The sequence below is a fragment of the Homo sapiens genome, chromosome 3 (assembly GCF_000001405.40).
Source record: "Homo sapiens chromosome 3, GRCh38.p14 Primary Assembly".
Lineage (NCBI taxonomy): Eukaryota > Metazoa > Chordata > Mammalia > Primates > Hominidae > Homo > Homo sapiens.
Window position 1 is genome coordinate 54,761,643 of NC_000003.12, and position 17,793 is coordinate 54,779,435.

The following is a 17,793-nucleotide window of genomic DNA, read 5'->3' on the forward strand; positions in this document are numbered from 1 at the left end:
CCCTGCTCCCAGGTCTCAAACTAGGACAGAAACTCACAGCCTATTCCTTTGGGGCCCTGTTTCCCCTGGGATGGGAAAGGCTCTGACCCAGGCCAGGAGGGTGGGGCAGGCAGGAGTGACAATGCATGCTAATTAGCACTATGCAGAGCTGTCATCAGGAACCCAGAAGCCACATGGTCCCAACCTGGTTTGGGGTTGGCACACCAAATTCAAACCAGCTGGCCTTTGTTTGGAAATCCTCTGGGTGGGTCCCGACCCTTTCTGGACAACAGCAGGGCTGGTATTTCCTTACCCTGAGCCCTATTTTAGTCACTAAGAGATTCTATAAACTCTGGAGCTAGTGCTGTGATGGAGCTGGCCTCAGAGGCACACATACTCTCTTTAATTTGTTTGGCGAGTAGGAGGTGGTATGAGCCTAGGATCCTTATTTAGAGGCACGGGGAGGAAACAAGAATCTGTGTCCATCCCCTGCTTGAAATCCTTCCCTGACTACCTGCGTATAGGATAAAGTCTAAACTCTTTCCCAAGTTCTGTGTGACAGTCCTCCTGCCCATTTCTGTCATCTTATGTCATCTTAACTCTACCCTCTCTCTACCAACTCCTTAACTCCAGCCATTCTGAGCTATTTTTAGTTCCTAGAAGGGGCCTGCTTCTCTCTGATCCTGGGTCCTTATTTATATTCCTTGTTTTGCTGGACACCATCTTTAATCCCAGTTCCTCTGGCTAACTGGTCCTCATCCTTCAGGTTCTAGCTACACTGACCCTTGCTCAAGGTAACCACATTTGATTGGCTGTGCCTGTTGTAAGTTTTAGCTTAATGTTGAATGTGCCATTTTGTAATTGTCTGTTTACTCAGAACTGCCAGGCCCCAGGGGGGGCAGGGGTCTTGCTCACCTTGTTAATCGCTGCTTCTTCAATGCTAAACACAAAGGAAACCTTCAATAAATGTGTGAATGAAGGGCTCCCTCCAAGGGATCCAGGCCTGTGTTCAGTTCACCCTTTCCCTTTTAACATCTCCTAACCCACAGCAAAGCTGATGTGACCCCAAGCTCTACAGCAGTACAGGAACATAGCAGCGCCCTGGAACTAAAGACCAAAATAGTGTCACCAATCACAAGACAACAGCATGGTGAGAATGTTTCTGTTGCTTAGAAATCATGTCTACCTGGCTGGGCGTGGTGGCTCATGCCTGTAATCCCAGCACTTTGGGAGGCCGAGGCAGGCGGATCACGAGGTCAGGAGATCAAGACTGTCCTAGCTAACACGGTGAAACTCTGTCTCTACTAAAAATACAAAACAGCCGGGCGTGGTGGCGGGTGCCTGTAGTCCCAGCTACTCAGGAGGCTGAAGCAGGAGAATGGTGTGAACCCGGGAGGCGGAGCTTGCAGTGAGCAGAGATTGCACCACTGCACTCCAGCCTGGGCGACAGAGTGAGACTCCATCTCAAAAAAAAAAAAAAAGAAAGAAAAAGAAATCATGTCTACCCAACATATTTAAAAGGCAGCACTGGGGACCACATCATGATATGGGCTGAAATTTTAGCCTCAAACATGCAAAGGGCAAAATTCAGTAGAAGTAAAAGGGACAAATTAAGAGACTTACAAACCTGGACTCATCATCTGTATTTGCTACTTGATGCCTGAGAGAACATAGGCAAAAAACATATCCCCCATCTGCATCGGTCATCTTATCTTTAAAATGGGCACAGTCATCTGCACTTAAATATGTTGTCACAAAGAAAAGGGACAACGTTGATCAAGTGTTTAGCAAATTTTATGGCACCTAGCACTCAAAAATTAATCATAACTATTATTGTTATGTTTATAAAAATGAACTAGCCTTTAATTTTTATGGTTCCTAGTTTTTCCCTTGGAAATAGACTCACAAAAATGAAAAAATAAGGTTACAAAATATCATGTAGAAAGAACTGTCATTTGTACCAGGGAATAAACACACACACACAGTATGTCTGTGTAAACATATACTGTGTGTGTGTGTGTGTGTATATATATGTGTGTGTGTGTGTGTATATATGTATATATGTGTGTATATATGTATATATGTATATATATGTACATATATACATATATATGTGTATATATGTGCATATATATACACATATATATGTATATATGTACATATATATGTATATATATGTACATATATATACATATATATATACGTATATATATGTATATATATGTACATATATATACATATATATATACGTATATATATGTATATATATGTATGTGGGGGGGGGGGGTGCATATAAAGTTAGGGAGGATATTCTCCAAAGAATTAACAGGAACTTCCTCTGGGAGATGAGTTTATGGTTGATTTTAATTTTATTACATTTGCTTGACTGTATTTTCTAACATGAACTTATTACTCATAAAGTGGGTGATCGGGGAGAGGAGCTAACGTTGAAAAGAAAAATGGGGGAGAGGAGCTAACATTGAAAAGAAAAAAGAAGGAAACTAGCTAGAGGGCAAGAAGGCATGGCATATGCATATTCCCAGTTGCAAGTCTTTCTGTCTGTTACTAAACTTGGCCCTCCCTTGGGTTTTGACAGGATTTTTTACCCAGATCTCCACCTTGGCTGATGTGCAGGAGAATGTCATGGAATACCTTCACGTGCTTAGCCGGCCCAAAGTCATCGACCAGGAGCATGATGTGGTGTGGACCGAAGCTTACATTGACAGCACTGTGAGTCCACGGGGCCCTGGGAAAGAGGCTAAGCTTTACCCCCATCCCCAAATTGTGTTAATTCCAGAAAATAGCAACTGTATCACTCTTATTTTTTGTGTTCAGTGACACTTTTCTTGATTGTTTGTATAGTGTTGGTCACCTTGACAAGCAAAGTTGGTGAAAAATCATAACGTACTAGAAAGTATGACACGTACTTCAGAAAGGTAGCTGGTCTGCACAAAAGAAATCACGTTTTGCTTGTCTTTTCTCGTTACTTCTGTCCCACTTTTTCACATGTGTTCAAATTCTGTCAGTGTAGCAATGATTACAAGCATTCTTAGATTCTGTCCTCACCATATATGAGCCCCAGTCCTGGCAATGAATCTTTGTGTCTCAATTGGGAATGTAACCAAAGCTCAGCTCTAATAATGAATTGGGGCCACCATGGAGGCTACAGTTGCATTTTCTTCCCATGCATAAGTGAGAATATGCTTGAATGGTGGTTCAGTAGGCACTGGATTGTTGTTTGAACTCTGACCATGGGCCCATTCTAAAGCCGAATTCTAAACAGCAGATTCTGATGCTGAATTAGCTGAAAAGGAGGAGCTTTGCCAATCATCAAGTAATGGCTCAATGGCTGGGTTTCTTATGTAATCTCAGGGTGATTTTTCATAGTGATAATAAGTCTGATGGGAGTGGTGTTTTTCATTTATTGATTGTAAGTGTTCTCACAGGGCCTCTCTCCAGTCATTTTTGTTGGGATTAACATCACATTAATCACTGTAACCCAGACACAGCTGTCCTCCAGAGTGATCTCAATGGCTGTCATGGGTCAGCTTTTCTCTCCCTGGGCTCTCTCATTCCTGCTGCACTTCTGGCAGCTACAGGCAAACTCAGGGCAGGAAAAGCATGTGGGAACTCATTTCAGGGGACACCATGACACAGGCCAGGCCACAGCAGCCTGCCCCATCTCAGCCTTAAAGTATGCAATGCGGCCCTGGAAATAAGAATGTATCCCCTTGTCAAAAAGGGAGACTCCTTCCCCAGGAAAAGTCATCTTGAATAAAGATGAATGTTGAGCTGAAAAGGCTTCTCCGATGCTAGGGAGACCATGAGCTTTTATCAGCTTGAGTCTGTCCCCAGTTTGGTTTTAAATCATGGAAACAAAATAAGCTGCCCCATTTATGTTGGCACCATATTAACAATAGCAGCCATGGTGATAACTTCATCTTTTCTTGTATGTTGTTGGGTAAGGCAGGAAAAATAGGAGTGAGGAGGAGGAGGAGTGTGGCTAGCTAGTATTAAAGTAACCAAATCACTCAGTGGTTTTGTGTACAAACCCCAAATAGCCAGTTTGTTCAGTCATTTTATTTGTTTCATCAATTTAAAAAAATATAAGACACAGTTTCTACAATTAAAACATTATGGTAGTAGCACCTGGACAGACAGATCAGTAGAGTAGAAGGTCCAAAAAATCAACTACATATGGGGATTTAGTATATAATAGAGGTGATGTGTCAGATCAGTGGGGCTAAGATGGGCTTTGTAATAGATGCTTTTGGGAAAATCAGATAGCCATTTAGAGAAAAATAGAATTAGTTCAGTCTTCACATCATACCCAAGGAAGAAATCCAAGTGGATCAGACGTCTAAATTGTAAAAAATGAAACCATTACAAGCAGTAGAAGAAAACCTGGGTAAATTCCTCTGTGACCTGGATTCTGGGAAGACTTTAACAATGACTGCAAAATCTACAGGCAATAAAGAGAAAGATAAATAAGTTTGACTACAACTTATTTATCAACAACAAAAAAAAACTTTTGTAAGCCAAAAACACATCATAAGCAAAGCCAAAAGACAAATGATAAAATAGGAGAAAATATTTGTGACACATAGTACACATGAAGAATTAATAATCTCCAATATACAAAGAACTTTTTAAAATTGAGGAGAAACTCCCAAAATTGCTATAGGAACAAAATGAGCAAAAAAGTTGACAATTCACAAAAAAGAATAAAAAATGGCTTTTAAACATAAGATGTACAACTTCATAATAAGCAAAATGCAAATTAAACTATAATGAGATACCATTTCACACCCATCAGAGTGGCAAAAACTAAAAGCTTAACCTTGCACTCTGTTGGTGAGGCTATGGGAAAAGGGACACTCTTATTCATTGATTGTGGGAATGCAAAATGGGGCAATCTCTATGGAAGTTAATTTGCATTTACCCTTTGATCCAGCAATCTTACTTCTAAGAATTCAACCCTGAAGATGGACCTTTAACATCACAAAAATATATGCACAAGTTTGTTCTTTGCAGAGCAGCTTGTAATTTCAAAATATGGGAAGTTACCTAAATGCCCAAACATAAGAGATTGAATAGACTATGGTACCTACACCTAATGGAGTCAATATTAAAAACAAGAATGAGAATGACCTGCATTAGTTGATAGAGAGTGATTTACAGAATATACTTCTAAGTAAAATGAGCAAAATCACATATAGCATACTACTTTTTGCAAGAATTATATATAGCATACTACCTTTTATATAGGAAATGAGGAAAAAAGAAGATAGATATGTAATTACTTACTTTACAAAAAAAAAAAAGAAAAAGCAAAAACAAGAAACAGAATAAACCAGAAACCAACAGAACTGGTTACCAACAGAACTATCATTCCCTCCCCAAGCCATCTTCTCTGCACCACCTCCCACATCTTATTAGGATATGGGAGGTGGTGCAGGGCTTGGGGAGAAAATGACACAACTCTGAGTATACCTTTTTGCACAGTTTTGACTTTTGAAAGCATATGAATGTTCTGTGTATTCAAAAATTAAACAAGATTGGGGGGAAATTAAAAGTGAATGCAAACAGAACAAAATGAATCCAATAATATTTCAAGTGAATAAAAAATTTCTCAGAAAGGGAGGAAAAAAACTTTAGAATATAGTAGTACACACAATATTAAATTTTGAACACAATACTTTCACTCTCTACCCCTCAATCTAGGGAGGAAAAGAGAACTGCAAATAAATTCTAAACTCCATTTGGTGTCATTTGTGGTAATATGGTTACAGCAATTCTGAATCCATTTTGTGAGTATGGAGGTATTGGGCAAATGTGTAAATGCTGAAGACAGGGGATCTGCCTATGGGATTAGACTTGATTGGAAAATCCCAACTCTGTCTTTCTAAAGGACCTATAAGCAGTGGCACCCAAGTAGCAATGAGCCCATCCAGTACCCAGATTCTGGCTTCTAAAAAACACTCCCCACTAAGAGGAGCCAGGGACCCTTAGAGTAATTGCTTATTCCAGGGCTGCAGCAGAGAAGGTACCAAATAATAATAATGATGATGACAATAATAATAATAAGCTTGGAATATTTTGTGCCAGAAACTAAGGAAGTGCTCAAAACAATAATGTGGTCATGTCAAAAGGACACAGGATCAGCATGAAGAGGCTCTCATTGGTCAAATCTGGGACAATTTGAGCCTCAAAATAAGGAATGACAATAATGGTTTGTAACTTGTTGAATAAAACAGAAATCCACATGTCCTTACTGATAATAAATAACTAAACAAATCCCAAACAGATGAACCAGATACGTAAGTCAGTGGGTGAGAAGAGTGCAGTGTATGATGGAGTGCTGACTGGCAAATGAGGAGGGAGTGATGGAGTTGGAAAATCACTATTTTGCAACCATTTTGGTAAAGACCAGTTAGGGCAAAGGTCTGTCAATGGATGCTAAATCTAGGGGGAAAGTTCGATGATGAGCAGGGTATTTTTATGACCTCAAAATGCTTCCCTAGACTTTTCATTAGTCTTGAGGGGGAAAAAGTGGCACCTGAACAGTGGGATACTATGTACACTGTCTTAGTATACTATATATTGGATGAATCTCAGCAACATCTTGAGCGGGTCCTCAAAATTAGCACCACCAATGAGAAGCAGATGGACATTGTGTGCCTGCAGAGAAAGACACATCACACTTATGTATTGTTTTGACCAGGGACACATAACCTGATGCTCACGGCAGATATAAGTTCATGAAGCAGATACAGCTTTGCATTAATATGATGCCTTGCTTTAGGTAATGTTCAGCACTTAAATCGGTTGTTGTATTAGATTTGCTAATTACATACAGATATAGGAAGTTAGAGGGGGAACCCATTGCTACTCAAACTTTTGCGCTGAAGTACTTTTGTGACCACAGAGCCAAAATATATGGTCTGGGGCAGATCTGGGCATGTAGTTACAGAGGAAAGTCTCTGAAGTCTTTTGCTTTATCTTAAACATTTGCACAAATTTTACATTCTGTGCCATAATCATTCTTATTTACTTTAAAATAACATTTCACGTGGCCCATTACTAAGTAAACTTGGTATGCCAAGATGACAGAGCTCATTTATTCTACTTCTTAAAGAACTCTTTGAGGTTCATAAAACTAAACCCACAAAATCAGGTTATCCCTAAAATGATAGCCCAACATTGTTGCTGTGCTTCCCAAGGTTCTGTTGCTGTATCTTTGCAAATTGCCCTAATAAATACATCTCCCGGTAGAATGTTCTGAGGGTTCCTTCTCCTCTTCATGGTGTTGAGCAACCTGTCAGGCCAGGAAGGGCACTGGGGAGTCTGTCTTCCTCTTTGTTAGGTCTGCCGGGTGAAGAGAAGGCAGCTGCTGCTTCAACAGGTACCTCTGACCAGGAAGCAGCAGTTTCTTCCAGCTCCTTATGTGGACCTGGATTCTGCCAGGACACGAACAAACAAACAACAACAAAACCCCATCATTTATACGGGGTCAAAACAGGGTTCACATGGTGAACTCATCTGCAGAGTCTAAATTCTGAGATGCTTACCAACTTTGGAACCACCCAGAAGATCAAGGGGGAGATGAGCAGTTTTGAATTTATGACTGTCCTGACACATCCAGGACAGTTTCAAGCCAGCATTACCCTAAGGTGACCCAGCTTGCAGTAATGAAAGAGACTAGACTCCACGAGCACTTGGCATTAGGAATGATGATTGACTCCATTTTAGTAACCTGATGTTTTGTTGGTATTGATAGCTCTGGATTTTTTTTTAAGCATATTTATCGTCTACCTTAGTTTATTCACTAAGGGCACTGAATTTAGGTTAGAACAGCATCCCAGGTTTGAATTGCATGCCTACTCCATATTTGCTCTGTGACTTTAAGCCAGTTACTTAGCCTCTTTGAGTATAGTTTTCCTCATTTCTAACATGAGAATACGACCTGCCTTCCAGGGTTCACTCTAAGGATTAAATGTCTATGCATAGTATGAATGCAATAAATACTATTTATTGTCATTTCCCAATTTTAGAAAACCTAGTGTGAGTTTATTTCCTGGGCTGAAGGAAGTTTTTAAAAATACTGGATTCTTCTTTCTTTGAGCTGGGTCTCACATAGTAGCTACATGATTGTTACCATATTCATAATAGAACTTGGTAGTTAAGTATGATGAGTATCTTGGAAAACATTGTTTGTTTAACGATACTCTTTAATTCTTTGGAATTCACTTGGCTGTAATTATGTGCTGTGAGCCAGGCACTAATGTCTGGGGGTGGGTGCCTGGGTCAGTGTCCCCAGAAAACACTGGGATTGTGCCGCACTAGCCAGGCAGAACCTTTCACCCCAACACCCTTACTGAGGAGAGCCCTTGCTGAATTACACAAGGAAAGGGAAATACGGTAGCAGCCCCCTTCACCCTTTGCCCATTTGCCCCGAAAATACTTGCTGCCGACACTTGCGGCTGCAGCTGTTAACCCGAGATAACTTTGCCACAAAATATCTCACTTTTATTATTATTTTTCTATAAATATCCTATAAAGAGAATGATGTCTTCTGTTTCCCAAAACATTCTGTTTTTAGTAGTGGTATTTACATTTACAAAATATAGTAATTCTCAATGGCTAAAAATGTCAAATCCTAGAGAATGTTGCATTCCTACACATGATGTTAACATCATTCTCAAACAGTTGTTGGCCAAAGATTCGTTTGATGAATCCGATTTTTCCAAAATAAGCGATTCTGACGATTCAAACAATTTTGATGTTAGTTCTGTTTTAGAAATAACTCCAAGAACAGTTTTTATATTTTATTTTCACATTGAAAATCAGTCAGATTTGCTTCAACCTCAAAAACCGTGTTTATGCAAAATTAAATGAGTGCTGGCAGCAAGCTGCACTTTTTTTGTTGTTTTTCTAAACGGGAAAAGGGTTAATTGGCCACAGCTTAACTGACTCAGTGTCAGTTAAGCGCCCTTGGCAATGCAGCCATTTGTGCCTGTCGCCCACAGCACCCTGGACATGTGATCTGGAAGGCCATTCTGGTGCACGAAGCATATGTCTGTTCCCCATGCTTGAGTTGCAAGCTTACTTGAAGTCAGTTGTCTTCATTCCCAAACCTATTGATGCCAGTGGTAATTTTATCATAATTGTATAAATGAATTAAATATTATTTAAACCAACAAATTGTGAGTATGAAAAGAAAGTCATTGTTTCTGTGAATCTGTAAATGAATGCTTTGGAAAGACTGTAAAGAAAGTTGCTAAAAAATTACCACTGTGCTGAATACGGGCAAAGCAACCATAAAAAACTAGGGAGAAAAAAAACATCTTCCTTGCATTCAGAGAAAACTGATGCTTAATTTTTCTTTCCTTCTTTCTATAGGGTAATTTTCCTTGATTTGTTTGTGTCATCCTTGGTTGATGTGGTGGATCTGGGGGCTGGGTTAGTGTCTGCTTTTTCTCTTATTGTCTCTTAGTGGCCTCGGGCAGCTGTGTACTCCAAGAAGGAGAACAGATCTTTCCAGACACAGAGAGAGGGGTCACTAATTGGTGTGTGAGCAGCTGTGATTTCCATCTAGAAACAACCAACACACTCCCATTATGTGGGTCAGCATCACCTGTATGGCTCTGCTAGTTCTCTACTGCCCTTTAACAAATCAGCACAGACTTAGTGGCTTTAAACAGCACAAGTGTATCATCTCCAGGTTGCCATGGATCAAAAGTCTCAGCACAAGTTAGGTGGATCCTCAGCTCAGGCACTCACAAGGCTACAAGGAAGCGTTGGCTGCACTGCAGGTCTCATCTGCAACTCAGGGGCCTCTTCTAAGCTCATTCAGCTTGTTGGCAGAATTCAGTTCTTTGCCCGTATAGGACTGAGTTCCCATTTTCTTGCTTGCTGTCAGCTGGGGACCACTCCCAGCTCCCAAAGGCCACCCAAAGTTCCTTGCCATGTGGCCCCTGTAGGCTGTCACACAATGCTGTTTGTTTTCCTCCAGCCCAGCAAAAATACATCTCTCTGATGCTTCACTTTCCCTTAAAAGCTTCTTCCATTAAGTCAGGCTGACTCAGGATCATTTCTTTTTTAATTAACTCCAAGTCAATTGATTAGTAATCTAATTATACCAGGGATATCCCATCAGCTTACACTCAAGGAGAGGGAATTTGATGGGGTGTGTACTTGGGGCAGAAATCTTGGGGGCCATTTTTGAATCTTGCCTACCCCAGTGGTCTCTGTCCATGTGCTCTGGTCTGAGAGGGAAAGATAATGCCAGAAGGAAATGCAACCATATCTCCTGCAAACTGTCAAGAGAAGGTTTTAGGATAGCTATGTCCATTCTTCATCATAACATTTCTACTTAGCACTGATGTTTCCCAGAGGAGCCTGGTTCTCTTTGTTATATTGCAGTCTGAAAGGAGCTGTGATTCCTTTAGGAATCAGAAGATCTGTGACCCTGCTGATGTGTATTATTTCTACTAAATACTAAGGGAGTAGGTAAGTATTTGTTGATTATCTAGTATGTTTGGACACTTGTACCCAAAAGATGGCTTAATATGGTCTGACTCTTCTTTCTCTGTAATTATCTGGGTAGTTAAGGAAAAGGAATTCCTCTTTGCTTGACTCATCAGTTTTTGTGGCTGAAAACCCAGCAGCAGTAAATATAATTATATAACTGATTTAATGCTTAAATAAATAGCTTAAAAATGACCCGTGAGTATAGTGCTTTCGCTATTAATTATACATTGATCCATAGTTTTGGTTCTGGACAAGTTCAAGATAAAAGTTTAGCTGTGAACAGAAGCTGAGTTTGGGTTCTTGCACATGAGAGCCAATCATTGCATTTAACCAATTCTAGAATCAGAAACTGACAAAACTTCCTTTCAGGGCCCATTCTCCCTGCTTGTTGCTACCAGTCTGATTAAATATTCTGTTTCCTGCTTGGCTGTTCTGTTCAATTTGTTTTCCTGGTGAAATCCAAATAAATGACTTAATGTTAACAACATTAATTATGTTGAATCTAATAAGATCTCATGTATTAATTGACAAAACAGCAAACACCAGAATTCTGAAATTCATAGGCCTCTCATATGAATACAAGTCATGCATAGTCATTATCTCTTAGGTGCAGAGCAAAAAATCATTAACAATGGAATTTGTTCCATTTTAAAAGCAAATGACTTGTGCTTTGGAGTTGGGTCTTAATCAGCTTGGGAATGCTATTCAACTTGCTGTGCAGGATAGAACCAGTATCAAACCAAGGAAGCATCAGCATTCCTGATCAGCCCCTCCAGGGGAGTTTACACAGACCACAGTGACACGCAGAAGGGAAGCAAAGAAATGTTTTAGAAACAGTGGGAATGTGACCATTTAAAATAATGAGAATTCATTATCAAGCCCTCTTGCCCCTCCCGTTTGCTGGTAATGCAATTCAGTAGGCAATTTGTAGGAACTTTTCAAACCAATTTAGTTGCATTTGCAAATTGGACCTGTATCCCTCCTTCTCAGCCCCCACTAAGTCCAACTTGGAGAAAACACTATGCATTTGATAAATTGCACATTTGTTTCAGTTTCCCATCTAGGAATGGCACCTAGGCCATTTAGGAGTCATTTGGGTGATTAAGCTATAACCTCTTACTGCCTAGAAGCAATTAAATGGGGTCAAAGCCATCCTAAGGATGTTCTTGGGCTTGGAAATGGAATTTACAGTATTTTTCCAAGACACTGCTGCATATCAAAGAAGTTCCAATCGTCAAAACAAAGAGACACACGTAAAGAGAAACATAAACCATCCTGCTGGGTTGTGGAACAGAGAATGCCATCTGCATTACATGGCAAGGAGGAAACTGATTATGTTGGGACCTCTATTTCATAGCAGATGGGTTCATTAAATTTAATAGCCTCCAGAGCCTTTAGAAACCGTGTTAAAAACATGTGGAGCATGCTGTGACACTTCACTTCTGGCCCCGCAGTCATTATAACTCTGGCACAGACTATAAATATTACAGTACTTTATTTCCATTGAAACAGATTACTGTTATGATTATTTTTTTCCAGGAGATGTTAAAAATATGAGTGTATTCCTGATTTTTGGTACCACTTATATGCATCCAAATATTTTCCTCTTCCATTGATTCTAGAGTTTTCTATTAAACAGAGTTGGTATTATAAAACCATGAATTGATGATATAAAATTATTATCTTCAGAAAAGATGTCCTAAAACTCTATATGGGTGACTGTCAACTAGTAGAAAAGCTTAGGGCTAAAAATGAAAATGATTTCTAGATTTCAGGTGTTTATTGTTGTTTCTGCTTTTATGGATTAATGATTTGCAACTGTCTGTAATGAAAGAACAGCCTCTATCCTCTGCCATACACCAATGGATAAGAGCATCTAGCCTGAATAATCATACAACATGATGGCTTATTCAGCACTCTTTGTTTACAAGTCACAGCTTCCAGTGCAAAGTGGGAATGGTCAAAAAGGCAATTTGATGACTCTTGGAACCAGGATGTCTGTGCAGTTCTGTCTTGAGGCGTGACTAGATTCAGGGGTTGTATTAGTTTCTTCTCGCATCACTATTAATATAAAGAACTACCCGAGACTGAGACTGGGTAATTTATAACGAAAAGAGGTTTAATTGGCTCAGGGTTCCGCAGGCTATGTAGGAAGCATGGCTGAGGAGGCCTCAGGAAACTTACAATCATCGTGGAAGGCAAAGGGGAAGCAGGCATGTCCTATATGACTGGAGCAGGAGGAAGAGAGAGAGTGGGGAGGTGCTACACACTTTTGAGCAACCAGATCTCGTGAGCACTCACTCACTCTCAGGAGAACAGCAAGGGCGGACATCTGCACCCATGATCCAGTCAACTCCCAGCAGGCCACTTCTCCAACACCGGGGGTTACAATTTGATACAAGATTTGGGTGGGGACATAGACCCAAACCATATCAGGGGTTAATCCCAATATTATTTTGACTTGCTCTTTGACTATTTTTTTTTTTTTTTTTTTTTTTGAAATGGAGTCTCACTCTGTCGCCCAGGCTGGAGTGCAGTGGTACGATCTTGGCTCACTGCAACTTCTGCCTCCTGAGTTCAAGTGATTCTCCTGCCTTAGCCTCCTGAGTAGCTGGGATTACAGGCGCCCGCCACCACACCTGGCTAACTTTTTGTATTTTTAGTAGAGACAGGGTTTCACCATACTGGCCAGGCTGGTCTCGAACTCCTGACCTTGTGATCTGCCTGCCTTAGCCTCCCAAAGTGCTGGGATTACAGATGTGAGCCACCACGCCCGGCCACTGTTCCTTGACTCTTATTGGCTTAATTCCCAGACAGGATCTCTCTACATGGTGCCAAAAATGGCTCTACTGTTTTTGGTATCTAACATAATGTTGTTAACTTTCATTACATTTATAAACCTTAATTTATTTGCCTTTCAGCATTTATATTAAGCCTATGATAGATAGGCCTGTTTGAGTCACAGCCAAACGTTGAGAGATGAGACAGACCTATGACTTAATGGCCTCAATCTCACAGAGTGAGGAGAAATCAATCCAAAAGGAAATTGATCCTGGGAAGACCGAGAAGTACCAGAGTCCTGCACAAAACTTGTTGGTAGAATCCGAAACCAATCCACGCCTAAGATCATGTACCACATCAGCAGGGTATTAATTATGATACCATACTGTTAAGCTATGGAGCCCTTTAGTTAAATGTCTTTGTGGACCCTTTCATATAAAGCATATAGAAGCAGAGGTCCTCTGGTAGGTATTGGGAAATGGAGACACGAAGCCCAGTTGCTTGGCCACATCCCAGGGAGACTCTGAAGCATTGTTTTCATCTTTCCTTGCACTGCAGAGCCTAGGTAGTATTCTAAGTAATCAGGTGTCAACCTCTGAGAATAGTCGTATAGGATTCTCTGCTGTGGATTCTCTGTTGTACCCTTTAGTTTACAACAGAGTGCTGGGTTGAGTCCAGTTAGGAAAGATGGCTATGGGGATTGGCAGGTTGTGTCTGTATTCAAAAATCAAATTGAGAAAGTTAGTATAGTAATATGACTATTTTATCATATTTCGGCCTTATTTTTCTTCATCACTTCTGATGATCAAACACTGGCTCATTGTACTTCTGTCACCTCTTAGAAAGCATTGGCTGTAGGCAAGAGAACCCACTCAAGCTGTGAGAAATTTACTGGATGGCTCAGGGGCAGCCCCAGGAGGGATAAGGACCATCAAGGAGCAAGAAGCCACCAAGAGCAAATGACCACTCTTTTTGTTCTTTCTTCCTTCTTCCTTTGTTCTTTTTTCTTGTCCCTCCTACTTGCCATCCCCAGTCATCGGTGAAACACAGTTTCCTGGTCTCCTCCCAGTCCTGGCTTTACATAATGCCCCAGTTGAGATCCAAAAAGGATGAAATCAGTGTGTGTTGTGTATCTGAGTTTACATTTCTGAGCAAATTATATACACAACTCACTCTAGCCCATGGTTCCATTGAGGTCAGATGTCCATCATTTATCCAATCAGTTATGTCCCAGAAGGCCAAGGGATAGAAACAGATCAGCCAGGGCTATGGATAACATTTTCTAAGAGGTCGGGAGGCTGCCTGCAGTGGCTTATACCTGTAATTCCAGCACTTAGCGAGGCTTAGGCAGGAGAATTGCTTGAGCCTAGGAGTTGGAGATGGGCAACATAGTGAGACCCCCTGTCGCTACAAAAAATAAATTGAAGAAATCAGCCAGGCACAGTGGAATGTGCCTGTGGTCCCAGCTCCTCGGAAGGCTGAGGTGGGAGGATCACTTGAGCCCTGGAGATCAAGGCTGCAGTGAGCCATGACTGCACCACTGCACTCTAGCCTGGGCAACAGAGTGAGACCCTGTCTCCAATTTAAAAAAACAAAACAGCAACCAAACAAAGACAAAACAACAAAACAAAACAGTAACAACAACAAAAGAGGCCTGGATAGGAGGAAATGCCTAGAGTCTGAAGGAGTTGGCATTTCTAGACCTCTGTCTTTCTGTCTGAGGTTTCTGTAACTTACAGCCCGGCTGAGCTCTGATCCTAACTCTCAGGAGTGGGTCTTCTTTCCTATTCTCTGAGCCCCAGGCTCACATCCTCCTTTAAGCCCCAGTGGACCCAAGTGTCCCCACAGCCTCCCCCTGGCCCCACATCCTGGAGGATGCTGCCCTTCCTCCATAGACTATCCCTGCTGTGTGGGTGGTGGGAAGCCCTCTCCCTTGTGCCTTCCGAGAGCTGAGGAAGATATTTTGGCCAACACAACCAAATCTGTACTGCTTTTCCCCCACTTCATGGCCCAGATATTTGGGTAACTTAACTTCTCAGAGCTGATTCTCATGCTTTGACATGGTTTAGACTAAAATGAACACATTCCTCTTATTACCAGCATGAAGAACAATTAAAATAATCCCAGAGAATCAGCCTGTGGTTTGATATCAGCTGCCAGTTTCTCTTCTGTTACTGTACACAGGATTTTCTCCATGTGAAAGATTTCATTCTTTCACCTTTACTCCAAAAGAATCGATGTGCCAAATATAAATGTGTTATCTATGAGGCCATGGCACAAAGACACCATAGGTAAGGACATTTCACCTGACTTGGCCTCTTAGCCTGCTTCTATTTAAAAGTAGCAGAGAATCACTCTTGCCTCCCCTGCCTTCATGACCTTTCACACCCACTTATGAGTGAAATGGCCATTGAGGGCTCCTCCTAACCTTACTCTGCTGGTGACACATGCTCTTATTAGACGTACAGAGCAGACATGACTAAGTCTATCTCTCAGTGCAAGGTCCTTAGGAGAAATTTCTCTCTTGTTCTGAACAAAGAAAGGAAAAGCAAAGCCAGTAGTTTATTCAGGCAGAAGGAACATGCTTTTAAATCAATTTTCATTATGTTTAATCTAAAAATCTGGAACATCAACATCTTTTCTGGTTGATAGAAACAACTATTAAACACGCTTGTCATTGATTTCTCTTCTGAAGTGATCAAATTAAAGGCAGCCCAAGATGAAGCAAGGCTGGAGTACTCATCCTATAGTCTGTTTCTCTGTCACTTAGCCAGCTGTTAAAGGAGCAGTTGTTTCCATGGAAAGAGCCTTCCTTTGAGGAACATGGGGTTCAATGGACCCCCATGGTATTCCAATAGCAGGGACCAGTGGGAAACACTGTCCACACACCTTATAAGTGCAGGGACATCTTGAGACCACATTAGATGACTTTTTCTGTCTGCCTCTGGAAAATATTTGAAGACCCAATTTGAAAAGTTTTCATAAATAATTGAGCTATTTTAATTGTCAACTAATAAGTTAGAGAATCTAAAGGCTCACTGCTGGCTTAAGTAGGATCACCACGGGCTTAAAACCCTCCAGGGGAGCCTAAATTCAGAGCATTTGAAGACCTTGATGACCTGACTCCAGTGAACATCTCAGTCTTTTCCTTCCACATGGCAGAAGGCAAAGGGGAAGCAGGCACGTCCTACGTGGCTGGAGCAGAAGGAAGAGAGAGAGTGGGGAGCTGCTACACACTTTTAAACAACCAGATCTTATGACCACTCACTCACTGTGAGGAGAACAGCAAGGGGGGACATCAGCAGCAATGATCCAGTCACCTCCCGGCAGGCCCCTTCTCCAACATTGGGGGTTACAGTTTGAATGGGGCCTTTCCCCATTCCGTGCCGCCATCCTCCAGCCTTAACCTACTCACACATTTATAGTCTCTAGAACCAGCCCTGTATTCTCTCACACCGAGACCACTGTACCTGCTTTTCTCTCTGCAGGAAGTGATCTCTTCCTCCCACTCCATTCAGAAGCCTCTGGGCTTATCCTTTGGTCTCAGTTTCATCATCTCCTCTGACCTCCTTGGATGGACCTCCAGTCTAGAGTGGGGCATTGATGGCCTGTTTCCAAAGCATGTAGCACCATCCTAGAACTTCTTGTACTATTATATTAAGAAGTCCAAATAAACTTTTTGCCACTGAACTTTAAATTCCTTGAGGAGAGGGATGGTGTCTGGTTAACTGTCGCATCCTCAATATATGATCAGGCACGTAGTAAGTATATGTATAGAATCAGATGTGTAAATCTCATAGACTCAGAGATCCAAAGGTTGGAGGGCATGTGAAAATATCTGCGTTTTCTAGCTGTTAGATAAGAATGGCATCTTCTCCAACATTTCACTCAGCATGTAGCATCCTTGCTCAAGGCCATCTTCATTAGGCATGTGATGAGTGGATGCATCTTCACCATGAGACTGGGCTTCTCTCTCAGGTACCCAGCACCACCAATCCAACAAAGATTTTGCCACATTCATCAAAAAGATCTGAATTCATGTGTCCACGGTTTGAGGAGCTAAGATAATGGCATTCTGACATATCAGCTGTGTCATTGTTAAGATAAAATTGATATTACTTTTGCCCACCGTTATGATGTTACTTTTGCCCACTGTTACAACAGAAGGGCTTTTTTTTTTGAGACAGAGTCTCCTTCTGTTGCCCAGGCTGGAGTGCAGTGGCACAACCTCAGCTCACTGCAACCTCCACCTCCCAGGCTCAAGTGATTCTCCTGCCTCAGCCTCCCAAGTAGTTGGGACTACAAGGTGTGTGCCACTACGCCCAGCTAATTTGTGTATTTTTAGTAGAGACGAGGTTTCACCATGTTGAACAGGCTGGTCTTGAACTCCTCACCTTAGGTGATCCACCCACCTTGGCCTCCCGAAGTGCTGAGATTACAGGTGTGAGCTACCACTCCTGGCCCAGAATGGAATTTTTAAACAAGATTTTGGCAAGATTG

General features: G+C 41.4%; 1 protein-coding gene across 1 annotated transcript in view; it reads left to right on the forward strand.

Annotated features, from left to right (window-relative positions):
- The window catches only part of CACNA2D3 (calcium voltage-gated channel auxiliary subunit alpha2delta 3), a 952,006-nt gene that overhangs the window by 639,091 nt on the left and 295,122 nt on the right, over positions 1 to 17,793 (forward strand). Inside the window, exon 13 of the mRNA NM_018398.3 lies at positions 2,576 to 2,709. Within this exon, the coding sequence (NP_060868.2) occupies positions 2,576 to 2,709 (134 nt within the window). The remainder of the gene's footprint in view (positions 1 to 2,575; positions 2,710 to 17,793) is intronic.